A 12,444-nucleotide genomic window follows, 5' to 3' on the forward strand; every position below is an offset into this window, starting at 1 on the left:
TGCCAAGTATGGATTTAGGCATGGGCTGATGATATAGTTCTGGCAATGAGGTGGAAGGGAAGTCAGCCTGGAGGATTCTAGCAAGACTTTCTTTGCTCATATAAAGGGACAATGACAGGAACATCCCCTGTGTTTCCTTTGAGGATGTCTTGCTTAAAACTAAAGCAAACACCTTGTTGACCAAAGGAGAAGACTAAAAGAGTCTCAGAGAACCCAAACCTTAGCCATGACACCTTTGAGTCACTAAATTAACCAACCTTGAAGCTACTCTAATGCTAGCCTTTTTCTTGTTGAAATGACCTTAGCTGGGTTTTCTAGTATTTAGAATGTAAGCTGTTTATTCACTATTATAGCCCTGTTATCTATAACACCATCTGGTGCATAGTAAGCCCACCATAAATATTTGTTGAAGGGATAAATGAATAAAAAGGAAGGAAAAAATGAATCCTTGCTGATATAGAAAGGTGTTAAGTTTCTTGGTCATCTTGGTGTTAGATTTTTCTGTTTCATTAAAAAAAAATATTCATTCAAAGCATTGCATGATGTTGACTAGGTGTATTAGTTCCAGGGAATTAGTGTTATGGGAAGTGGCAGACAGATCTGGATTTGAGTCTGGATCTGCTACTTACCAGTCAAGTGTTCTTAGGCAAATTATTCATCTTCACTGAGCACACCTGTAAAATGAGGATAAATTATGGGGTCGCTGTGAGTCTTAAATGAGAAGCAACCACAGAGCTGGGCACGTGGGAGGGGCTCTGTAAGTGTTCATTCCTCACCTTCCAACATTCTAAGTACTCAGGTACCATGATGCCAGGATGAATCAGGCCGAGTCTCTCTTTGACCTTGAGAAGGATTTCATGGGCCAGGGGGAGGACTCAGACATAGCAACAAATCAGCCACGTGACCCACATTAACATCACGGGAAATGGAACAAATTGACATCACATACCTCCTGATATGACACACTGAGATGAACAGAGCATTACCTCTGGGATAGTTCTGCCAAATTAGTACAACAAGAACTCATCACAAGGAAACATCAAACAAACCCAAAATGAGGTACTTTCTACAAAATAACTGGCTTAGACACTTCAGAAATGTTGTCATGAAAAACAAAAAGGAGGCTGGGTGCAGTGGCTTATGCCTGTAATCCCAGCACTTTGGGAAGCCAAGGTGGAAGGATCACAAGGTTAGGAGATCAAGACCAACCTGGCTAACACGGTGAAACCCCGTCTCTACTAAAAATACAAAAAATTAGCCAGGTGTGGTGGTGGGCGCCTGTAGTCCCAGCTACTCGGGAGGCTGAGGCAGGAGAATGGCGTGAACCCGGGAGGCAGAGCTTGCAGTGAGCTGAGATTGCACCACTGAACTCCAGCCTGGGTGACAGAACAAGACTCCGTCTCAAAAAAAAAAAAAAAAAAAAGAAAGAAGAAGAAGCTGTTCTAGATTAAAGGATACTAAAGAGACATGACAACTAAATGTGGTGTCTAATCTTGGACTTTCTTTTGCTTTAAAGAACTTTACTGGGGCCAGGCACAGTGGCCCACACCTGTACACCCAGCACTTTGGGAGGCTGAGGTGGAAGGATCACTTGAGGCCAGGAGCTTGAGGCTGCTGCGAGCTATGATTGTGCCACTGCACTCCAGCCTGGACAACAGAGCAAGACCTTGTCTCTGAAAAGAAAAAAAAAAAAACTTTATTGGGAAAAATTTGTGAAATCGGAATAAGATCTGTGGATTAGATAAAATAGTTGGTACCAAAGTTAATTTCCTAATTTTGATGATTATCTATACTTATCTAAGAGAATGTCCTTGGTTTTACAAAGCATATACACCAAAGGAGTAGAGGGGAGTAATGTCTGTAAAGTAACTCACAAACAGTTCAGAAAAAGTAAAATTATGATTCTAGATACAGTACATAGAAAGATAGGTAGGGGCAGCCAGGCGCAGTGGCTCATGCCTGTAATCCCAGCACTTTGGGAGGCCGAGGCGGGTGGATCACAAGGTCAGGAGTTCAAGACCAGCCTGGCCAAGATGGTGAAACCCTGTCGCTACTAAAAATACAAAGAAATTAGCGGGCACCTGTAATTCCAGCCACTCGGGAGGCTGAGGCAGATAACTGCTTGAACCCGGGAGGCGGAGGTTGCAGTGAGCCAAGATCACGCCACTGCACTCCAGCCTGGGTGACAGAGTGAGACTCCATCAAAAAAAAGAAAAAAAGGAAAAAAGAAAGAGAGAAAGAGAGAGAGAAGGAAAGGAAGGAAAGGAAGGAAAGGAAGGAAGGAAGGAAGGAAGGAAGGAAGGAAGGAAGGAAGCAAGCAAGCCAGCCAGCCAGCCAGCCAGGCAGGCAGGCAGGCAGGCAAGCAGCGTAGTGGCTCATGCCTGTAATCCCAGCAATTTGGGAGGCTGAGGTAGGCAGATCACCTGAGGTCAAGAGTTTGAGACCAGCCTGGCCAACATGGCAGAACCCCATCTCTACTAAAAATACAAAAATTAGCCAGGCGTGGTGGCACACGCCTGTAATCCCAGCTACTTGGGAGGCTGAGACAGGAGAATTGCTTGAACCCAGGATGCTGAGGTTGCAGTGAGCTGAGATAGTGCCACTGCACTCCAGCCTAGACAACAGAGTGAGACCCTGTCTCAAAAAAAAGAAAAAAAAAAAGATAGGTAGGTAGTTGGGTGGGTGGAAGGTTAAGGTTAATGTCACAAACAATATTTAGGGTATCGGGCTGAAAGATATACAAGAATTATTTGTACTATTCTTGTAACTTTCTTGCAAGTCTGAAATTGTGTCAAAAATAATTTTTAAACAATTTAAAGGTGACAGTAGATCCAAATGCTGAAGGAGACTGGGAATTTGTGGGTGGGAAAAGGTGGGGAATGGAATTAATTGCAGGCCGAGTAAAGACTTAAGAAAGCATTCAGCTGGCTAGCACCTGAAGATCCAGCTACTCGGGAGGCTGAGGCAGGAGGATTACTTGCAATTAGAAATTCTAGGCTTGCAGTGAGCTATGATCATGCCTGTGAATAGCCACTGTATTCCAGCCTGAGCAACATACCAAGGCCCTGTCTCTAAGCCACCAGGAGATGGTGGCCCATTTCACAGAAAGCTGCATTTGAGCATGTTCTAGAAAGAGGTGCCACAATCCTCCAGGCAGACAATAGGAGGAAGGGCCTTTTAGTCAGTGGCCAGTAGGTATGAGTGAGTAGGGCACTAACAGGCAGGAGGCAGGTGTGGCTGAGGTACTGGATATGGGCACTAAAGATGGATATGTAGGTTGTGGCAAAATTGCAAAGGACCTTGAATGCCCTGCCAAGGCGTTGGGACTTCATCCTGTAAGCAGGGGGTGGGCAGTGACATGATGAGCTAGATGTTGTAGAAAGTGAGGAGGACGAGCCAGGTGTGGTGGCTCACACCTGTAATCCCAGCACTTTGGGAGGCTGAGGCAGGCGGACTACGAGGTCAGGAGATCGAGACCAACCTGGCTAACACAGTGAAGCCCCGTGTCTACTAAAAATACAAAAAATTAGCCGGGCGTGGTGGCGGGCGTCTGTAGTCCCAGCTACTCAGGAGGCTGAGGCAGGAGAATGGTGTGAACCCGGGAGGCGGAGCTTGCAGTGAGCCGAGATCGCGCCACTGCACTCCAGCCTGGGCAACAAAGCAAGACTCCATCTCAAAAAAAAAAAAAAAAAAAGTGAGGAGGATGAGTAGAAATGAGCACGATAGGAGTCGGGGAGACCCAGGAGACTATCGAGGTATCTGGAGGTAAAAGAAGATGCTGAGGGCTTGAATTAATTAAGCCCGTTGGGCCAGAACTGGAAGGGCAATATGTACATTCACACCCCTAGGAGGCAAACTGGCAGGACATTTTTGGTGCTCTCGTTCCAGTTTGCTCTGCATTGCAGAGGCCGTGGGACCAAGTGACTGGTCAGCAAGGGTAAGCCCCTAGTTGGTTTAGAAGGTGGGGAAGTGGGCTGGGCGCAATGGCTCATGCCTGTAATCCTAGCACTTTGGGAGGCCAAGACGGGTGGATCACCTGAGGTCAGGAGTTCAAGACCAGCTGGCCAACATGGCAAAACCCCGTCTCTACTAAAAATACAAAAATTAGCCAGGCGTGGTGGCACACGTCTGTAGTCCCAGCTACTTGGGAGGCTGAGGCAGGAGAATCACTTGAACCCGGGAGGCGGAGGTTGCAGTGAGCCGAGATCACGCCACCGCACTCCAGCCTGGGTGACAGAGCGAGACTCCGTCTCAAAAAAATAATAATAATAATGATAAGAAGAAGGTAGGGTGTGTCCAGTGTCCACTTCTTTTGAACTTTATTGGAGCTAGGGCCTTTATCAGGAACTGAGAGCCATAGCCATCTCATTGTAAATTCAGACCACCACCTACATGACCTGTGCTGGCCAGCTTGGTCTCATACAGCCCCCTCAGTGTCTGATTCCCCAAGATTTTTATATGTTACCCACATGGGTGCTACGGTCAGTCCCATCATGTTTCCAGCTCAGGAGGCTAAAGGCCCAATCACGAATTTGGTTCTTTGTATTGCACAACAGCAGGGCATTTTAAAGTCAAATTGAGCCAATCCACTCATTTGACACTCAACAAATATTTGCCCATTGCTACAGTGTGCTTAAGAGATTTACCCAAAAGGAACAGAGAAAGGGGTAGGGTGAGAAAACACTGAGGTCAGATTATAATGAGAGTGGTTTTTCTCACTGAGGTTTCACTTGGTATGTCCAAATTAGATAGAGATGTGTTTCTCATTGAGTTTGAAAAGGAAATATTATCTTTAAGTCTTTAGGTTCCCAACTTCATGAAGATGGAGCCAGGTGATAAGTGGCATCAAATGCCATTCTGAGCAACATGTTAAACACTCAGAAAGCAAGATGGGTCCCATGTGGCCTGGTGATTTTCCCTAAATGCATGCAGCTCTTACTCGCCCGGAGGCTTGTCCACAGCTGTGGTGGTTATGACGGTGGTGATGGAGATCACCCACTTTGTGCCAGGCACTCTGAAAAGTGCTTCCCTTACATTCTCTCTAAACCTAACCACCTAACCACACCCTGCAAGGTAGACATCTTACACGTGAGGAAATCAGAGTGCAGGGAGGTGGGTGGATTTGTCCAAGATCGTACTGCCATGTAGGGGCAGAGCCAGGATCTGAATTCAGATCTTGTCGCTAAAGGTTATGACCATTCCATCGTCATGCCATCTCCCACTGCTTCAAAATGGGAAGGAAGTTTCCCATTTTTGAACAAAAGCATCTGGCCAATGGATCTCAAACTTTAGTGTGCATCAGAGTCTGTGTTAATAGAATGCAGATTGCGGGGTCTGAGCCCCAGAGTTTCTGATTCATTAGGTCTAAGGCAGGGCCTGCTAATCTGCATTTCTAGCAACCCCAGATTTGCTGGTGTTGCAGCTAGCCCTGGGACCTTGCTCTGAGAACCACTGCTCTTGGGGTTAACAGAAGATGATGCTACTGCCTCCTCCTCCTCCTCTTTCTGTTCATTTTGACATCTCCAAAACCGATCCATTTCACCTGCCTGAAGAAGAGGGCCGGGGCGAATGCTGCCCTCACTTCTGCCCATCTGTTTCCTGGGAGTCTGTGTGGGAGGCTATAGGCTCCTCACTGACCCAGCGCAGAGGATTCCTGGCTAAGCCATTGGCTCCCAGTTGTTTACAGACACATCTACTCTCAGGTCACTGCTCTCTCTCTCTCTCAACCCCAGGGGGCATTCCCAGGCCTCTCTGGGCTTTCTGTTCTCTCACAGCTTCTCTGCAGACTGAACCTGCTTTCATCTGCTTAGTCAAGTGTGGTTTATGAACTCTGATTGCCTACAACACCCTCTCTTCATTAGTCAGACTTTGGACTGGGAATGAGAGATCTTTTCCAGGGTAATATGGGACACACAGGCTGCTTCTGTCACCTGGGATCCTTGCTGCTCTGGGAAAGATAAACTTTCTAGCATCTTGTTGACCTTCCCAAGTTATAGTTTGACAAGGGAACATATGTTTCAAAGGCTTGTGGACTTTTAGACTTGGAAGAGATCTTGGTGGAAAAAAAGGAAGGGAAGAGAACAAACACTTATTGAGAATCTGCCAAGTGTCAGGCACAAGGCCAGAGACTTAATATGTGCCACAGTATTTACTCTTCACAGTAACCCTATGAGATAGGGTTTGGGTTTTTTCATTTTAATCCCCATATATAGATGAGAAACTGAGATTCTAAGTTTAGCAACTGGTAAGGGTCACACAGCTAGCTAGTGGCAGAACCAGGATTTGAACCCAGGTCTACCCATATTCTCTCTTCTACTGCTCGCCCAGCAGTCCATAGCATTGATGGTCTCCATAATGTGATATCCATTGATTGTCCTGGCTTGCTAAGACACCGTGTGTCAGTCATACAGTGGTCAGTGCTGGGGAAGCAAGGACTAGTCCAGTTAGAGAAGCCGGTAGTGGGTGGTAGGAGGAACTGAGAAAACGGGTCATGGTTGAGTGCTGCATGAGCAGGTGGGAGGTGCCAGGAGTCTGTAGAGTTAGTAACAAGAGCTGCTGGGAGCAGGTCAAAGCAAGCAAGATGACAGTCATCTCCAAGGAAAGATGAGCAGCCAGCCAGGGGCCTCGACTCCGGCAAAGCTAGCCAGGGCTGCTCTAAAGAGCCAGGTGCCAGCCCTCCCGCCCAGGTGTGGGTCTGCTTGAAGACAGTCCCCCTGCCCTCCACGTCCATCAGTGTGTGCTTTGTGCCCAGCATTGTGCCCAGCATTGTGCTAGGTGTTGACGCTCCTTTTTTTTTTTTTTTTTTTTTTTGAGACAGAGTTTTGCTTTTGTCACCCAGGCTAGAGTGCAGTGGCACGATCTGGGCTCACTGCAACCTCCGCTTCCCGGGTTCAAGTGATTCTGCTGCCTCAGCCTCCTGAGTAGCACACACCACCACTCCCAGCTAATTTTTGTATTTTTAGTAGAGACGGGGTTTCACCGTGTTGGCCAGGATGGTCTGGATCTCTTGACCTCGTGATCCGCCCGCCTTGGCCTCCCAAAATGCTGGGATTACAGGCGTGAGCCACTGTGCCCAGCCTCCTTTTTAAAAATAAAATTAAATAAATAAAATATTCTTGTTTTCAAAGAGCTCACAGCTCAGGTATAGGTACAAGCAACTGACTACACAGCCAGATAAGTATTATTTTTAACACGGTGTTTCGTAGCTTAGACTGTCAATTCACATACCCACATGATGTCCAGCGACCCTCATGGGAAGCATTCCCGCAGGGGAGAGAGGAAGGGCCCTGTGCGAAGCATTCTGCTCTTCCACGCCTGACATCGCATGGAGCCTTGGCACAACCCCTTGAGGAGCACAAAGGAGGGAGTCCTAACATCTCCTTGTGGGGGATGGGCAAAGCTTCCCAGAAGTATGGGTAGAAGCTCTTCATGCAGAAACCAGGAAGGCAAGGTCACTGCCATTTCTTCCGCTGTGTCATTTCAGCGTGATAGGCACTTTTAGCTTTAGCTAGAAGGAGGGCAGGGGGCTTGAGACTGGCCTCTTGGCCTTTCCTTTTCCACTGCCATCTGAAAAGCCCTAACTTTTTTACATCTATCTTCCTGCAACAGCTCCCTCCAGAAAATCCAGATGTCTAAAGTGCTAGCAAGCAAAGGGCTAGTGGGTGTGCTTTTAGCCGACATAGTCTGGCTTGTGAACAAATGTTAAGAAGGTCTCTTTTTCCTCGCTCTCTGCCATCCATTTTTCCTCAATGACTATTTTCCTAGAGTTCATCATGTGATAACCATGACAGACCAGGGATAGATGAGGGAGGAGCCATCAATGAGAGACGTCATCTGTCCTCACTGAGTCAGTGAAAGAAAATGTTAGGCTGGAATCAATGACTTATTGAGCATGAGGTCAGAGGGGAGGAGATTTACATTTGTCTCTTAAATAGTGGTGAGTGAGAAAGCAAGTTCTGGATTGGAATTCAGCAGAATGGCTTCTCCCTAAGCAGCTGGAAGACCAGGAGCAGGGAGGACATGGGAAGGGACCCTCAAAAGGAAGCAGAGACATTAGCTAGGTGCTGGGGGTCTGGAAAGGCAAGAACCTTCAGGCAGCCTGGGTGGTCACTCGGCTGAGCCAGCACTGAAGGAGCTCTGGAAGGAGGGATAGCTAGTCCTCCCGCCCACACCAACACCAGCACCGATGTGGCTGCCCCCTCTGGTGTCCTCCATGGTGGGAGCCAGGTTGAATGCTGCTCTAGGACACTTTGTAGAGCACCCATGGGGATACTGTCTCTTCAGTGGACTTCTGACTGAAGCAGGTGGAGACCCTCCCTCTCCTCACCAGCACTGGGATCAGGCTGTGGCCAGGAGCCGGATGGAAAGGCAGTTTCATGTTTGCTCACATAAGGGTGACTATTCGGGGCCAGGGGCGGTGGCTCACGCCTGTAATCCCAGCACTTTGGGAGGCTGAGGTGAGCGAATCATGAGGTCAGGAGTTCGAGACCAGCCTGGCCAACATGGTGAAAACCTGTCTCTAGTAGAAATACAAAAAATCAGCTGGGCATAGTGGCGCATGCCTGTAATCCCAGCTACTCGGGAGGCTGAGGCAGGAAAATTGCTTGAACCCGGGAGGTGGAGATTGCAGTGAGCCAAGAAGCTGCCACTGCATTCCAGCCCAGGCGACAGAGTGAGACTCTGTCTAAAAAAAAAGAGTGATTATCCAGGCTGGTTGCAGTGGCTCATGCCTACAATCCCAGCACTTTGGGAGGCCAAGGTGGACTGATCACTTGAGGTCAGGAATTAGAGACCAACCTGGCCAACAACGTGAAACCCCATCTCTACTAAAAATACAAAAATTAGCTGGGCATGGTGGTGTGCATCTGTAATCCCAGCTATTTGGGAGGCTGAGGCAGGAGAATCACTAGAACCCAGGAGGCGGAGGTTGCAGTGAGCCTAGATCGCACCACTGCGCGCTCCAGCCTGGGCAACACAGCGAGACCTTGTCTCAAAAAAAAAAAAAAAAAAAAAAAAAGGCCAGTCGTGGTGGCTCACACCTATGATCCCAGCACTTTGGGAGTCCGAGGCTGGTGGATCACTTCAGGTTAGGAGTTCAAGACCAGCCTAGTCAACAAGGTGATATCCTGTCTCTACTAAAAATACAAAATTAGCCAGGTGTGGTGGCAGGCACCTGTAATCCCAGCTACGTGGGAGGCTGAGGCAGGAGAAGCGCTTGAACCAGGGAGACGGAGGTTGCAGTGAGCCGAGATTGTGCCACTGCACTCCAGGCTGAGCAATAAGAGTGAAACTCCGTCACAAAAAAAAAGAAAAGAAAAGAAAAGAAAAAGAGTGACTATTCAGACAAACCCACCAGATTTGCTTAATCCTCACAACAACCCTAGGGACTATTCTGTTTTTTAAGTGAGGAGAAATTCACATAACATAGAATTAACCATTTTAAAGTATAAAATCCAGTAGCATTTAGTACATTCAGAATATTGTACAACCACCACTTCTATCAAGTTGTGAAACATTTTCATACGTCGTTGAGGTTGTTTTTATGCCCATGTTACTGGTGAGCTATTAAGGCTCAGGAAAGTGAAGTGACTGATTCAAGTTCATCAGTGGGAGAGGTCGGATTTGAGCCCAGATTCTGTAACTCCTGTAGAAGGAGGAAATGTCTCTCTTCAGACTTTGATAACAGCCTCTGAACTGATTTCCTGGTCTCCTGTCTCCCTTCTTCCAGGTGTCTTACACACAATGAGATTCATCTCCTACCACCAGGCTCTAAGAGAACTATCTCCCTCCTTAGCCTCCCAATGGGCGCTCATTAGTATCCAAATAAAGTGCAAGCTCCGTTCTGCTGTAACCTTTATGTTGATCACCAAGCAGCCTGTTTCTCTGGGCCTGTGGTCCTTGGGAAATGCTTGTGAATCCTGGACTCTGACAATCCTGGGAGTGGTGGCTGATCCTGGCACAGCTTCTGCCCTTTATCCTATCCATCAGCTACCAGCCAGACTGCATGCCCTTGAGATTTCTCAAGCGGGGTCTGACACCAGCGTGGGCTCTGTGCACCTCAGTGTGTGTTGCCATTGGAACCCCGTCACTCGACTTGAGGGAAAGGACAGCAACCTCCCATCTCTCCACCTTGGTTGGCTAAGTTATTTTAAGGTCAAATAATGGAAGCAGTGCAGATATTAAATATGTCGGTGCCAGTTGTATATATGTGCTCCCTGAAAATATACTCATGGTGTATTTTTAGGTGCCAAAGGGCAAAATCCTATATGTAATATAATCTTGTTTCAGAAAAAATATGTTTATATAGACAGAACAAATATATATTTTAACATGTTCATCTATTTGCATAAGAAAACATTCGAAAAGATACACCTTTAATGGTAATGTTAACATGTTAATGGTGGTTCTCTCTGGCTGATGTGATTTGGAGTGATTTTAATTTTTTCCTTTGGCTTATTTTCATCCTTGCTAAGTTTCTTTCCATAAAAACATGACCTCTATATGAGAAAAAGAAGGCCGGGTGTGACGGCTGTCTGTAAGCCCAACACTTTGTGGGGCGGAGGTGGGCAGATCACTTGACGTCAGGAGTTCAAGACCAGCCTGGCCAACATGGTGAAACCAGGTCTCTACTAAAAATACAAAAATTAGCTGGATGTGGTAATGCACGCCTGCAATCCCAGCTACTCGGGAGGCTGAGGCAGTAGAATCATTTGAACATAGGAGGCAGAGGTTGTAGTGAGCCAAGATCGCGCCATTGCACTCCAGCCTGGGCGACAGAGTGAGACTCTGTCTTGAAAAAAAAAAGAAAAAGAATAATGAAGAAGAAAAGAGTTTCTGTAGGACTCTGTTTGCCCTCTCAACTTGGCCTTCTCTCACAACTAATTGTGTATTTGCACCTCTACTTTCTCTGCCCCTCAAGAACAGGGATCTCATCTTACTCATTTTGCCTTCTCTGCGACGTCTCCAAGACATGCTCAAGAATTAATTAGCTAGCCAGGGAGCGGACCCCAAGTTCTACTGTCTCTGACCCCTCCTGAGTGCAGGTCTCTGAGGCCAAGCCCCTCGAGCAGGCCTCCAGGAGGTGAAGCTCCTGAGACCTCCCAGGCCTAGGTTCCTGGGGTTTCCCACTAGGCACCTTGTCAGTGAGTAAAGCAGTGGTGGCTGCAGGCAGATGCAACATCAACAGCAAGTCTGCAGGCAAAGACGCTCTCTTGCGCTTGTGGGTTTCTTCTCAATATGATTTCATTACTGTAAGGCAGATGTTTCATTGCCAGGGCAACCAGGGGGTGGAATATGCACAGAGCAGCCTCCACTTTGAACTTTATTTTGTTAAACTCCCACTGGGCCCTGAGCTCACTTCCCATTTGTGGTTGCAAGAATGTAAACATTCTTCAAATCTGCTGGGGTTTTTTGTCTTGATCTTGTTTTGTCTCTTTAGAGGTCTGGCTGACATGTACAGTGTCTTCTGCAATTTACTAATTAGTGTAACTTGTTTCATTCTCACCCGCTCACCTTGATACCTCTCCCTACTGTCTTGTGATCAGACTTGCTCCCTCAAAATAGATGGATATATTTTTCAATGTATTTAAAATGAACTGGAGGCCGGGCGAGGTGGCTCACATCTATAATGCCAGCACTTTGGGAAGCCGAGGAGGGTGGATCACCTGAGGTCAGGAGTTCGAGACCAGCCTGACCAACATGGTGAGCCCTCATCTCTACTAAAAATACAAAAATTAGCCGGGCGTGGTGGCGCATGCCTGTAACCCAGCTACTTGGGAGGCTGAGGCAGGAAAGTCACTTGAACTGGAGAGGCAGAGGTTACAGTGAGCCGAGATCGCGCCATTGTACACTCTAGCCTGGGCAACAAGAGCGAAACTCTGTCTCAAAAAAAAGAACTGGAACGTCAGAATTGGAATTTTCCAATAGGGAGGATATCAAAGGGGACAGCTTTAACTGTTTCTCCTCTCATGATGTGCTCTTTTTCCCCTTGGTTTTCCTGCTCCTGCTCCGCAGCACACACAGGTTTCTAAACTACACTGAGGGGTGACTAGCCCTCTGTGGCCTTGGCCTGTTTGATGTGAATACCCTATCTCCCTGGTGAGGCTTGGAGGCCTCAGTGGGAGGAGCAGTCATGATCGATTCCTCAATCATGACAAAACCCATATAGCCTGCAGTTCCCTCTCCTTCCATTCCTTGTCCCAGTTAAAATACCTTTCAACTAGACTCCACTTTTGGAATTGTCACTGACAAAGTTGTTTTCTGGGGAGGTGAGCCTCAGAGGTTTAAACACACTGGTCTTGCCCAGCACCTGATACTTCATTGTTGGAAGGAATTAAATCTAATTGAATAGAATCAAATCCAAATTGAACGGGCAGGTTCTAAACCAGGCTTGCAGATCAGGGCCATCAGCCTCTTAAATGCAGCCCAGATGAGCCCACCGTTGTC

General features: G+C 47.3%; 3 annotated features.

Annotated features, from left to right (window-relative positions):
- Nucleotides 4,870-4,929: an enhancer, noted in NCBI's record as "active region_9529". NCBI's record gives its function as "activates an Ori minimal core promoter by ATAC-STARR-seq in GM12878 lymphoblastoid cells {active_cell/tissue: GM12878}" and the evidence as "EXISTENCE:reporter gene assay evidence [ECO:0000049][PMID:35858748]".
- Nucleotides 5,850-6,159: an enhancer, noted in NCBI's record as "active region_9530". NCBI's record gives its function as "activates an Ori minimal core promoter by ATAC-STARR-seq in GM12878 lymphoblastoid cells {active_cell/tissue: GM12878}" and the evidence as "EXISTENCE:reporter gene assay evidence [ECO:0000049][PMID:35858748]".
- Nucleotides 6,750-6,869: an enhancer, noted in NCBI's record as "active region_9531". NCBI's record gives its function as "activates an Ori minimal core promoter by ATAC-STARR-seq in GM12878 lymphoblastoid cells {active_cell/tissue: GM12878}" and the evidence as "EXISTENCE:reporter gene assay evidence [ECO:0000049][PMID:35858748]".

Source organism: Homo sapiens, chromosome 15 (genome assembly GCF_000001405.40).
Source record: "Homo sapiens chromosome 15, GRCh38.p14 Primary Assembly".
NCBI lineage: Eukaryota > Metazoa > Chordata > Mammalia > Primates > Hominidae > Homo > Homo sapiens.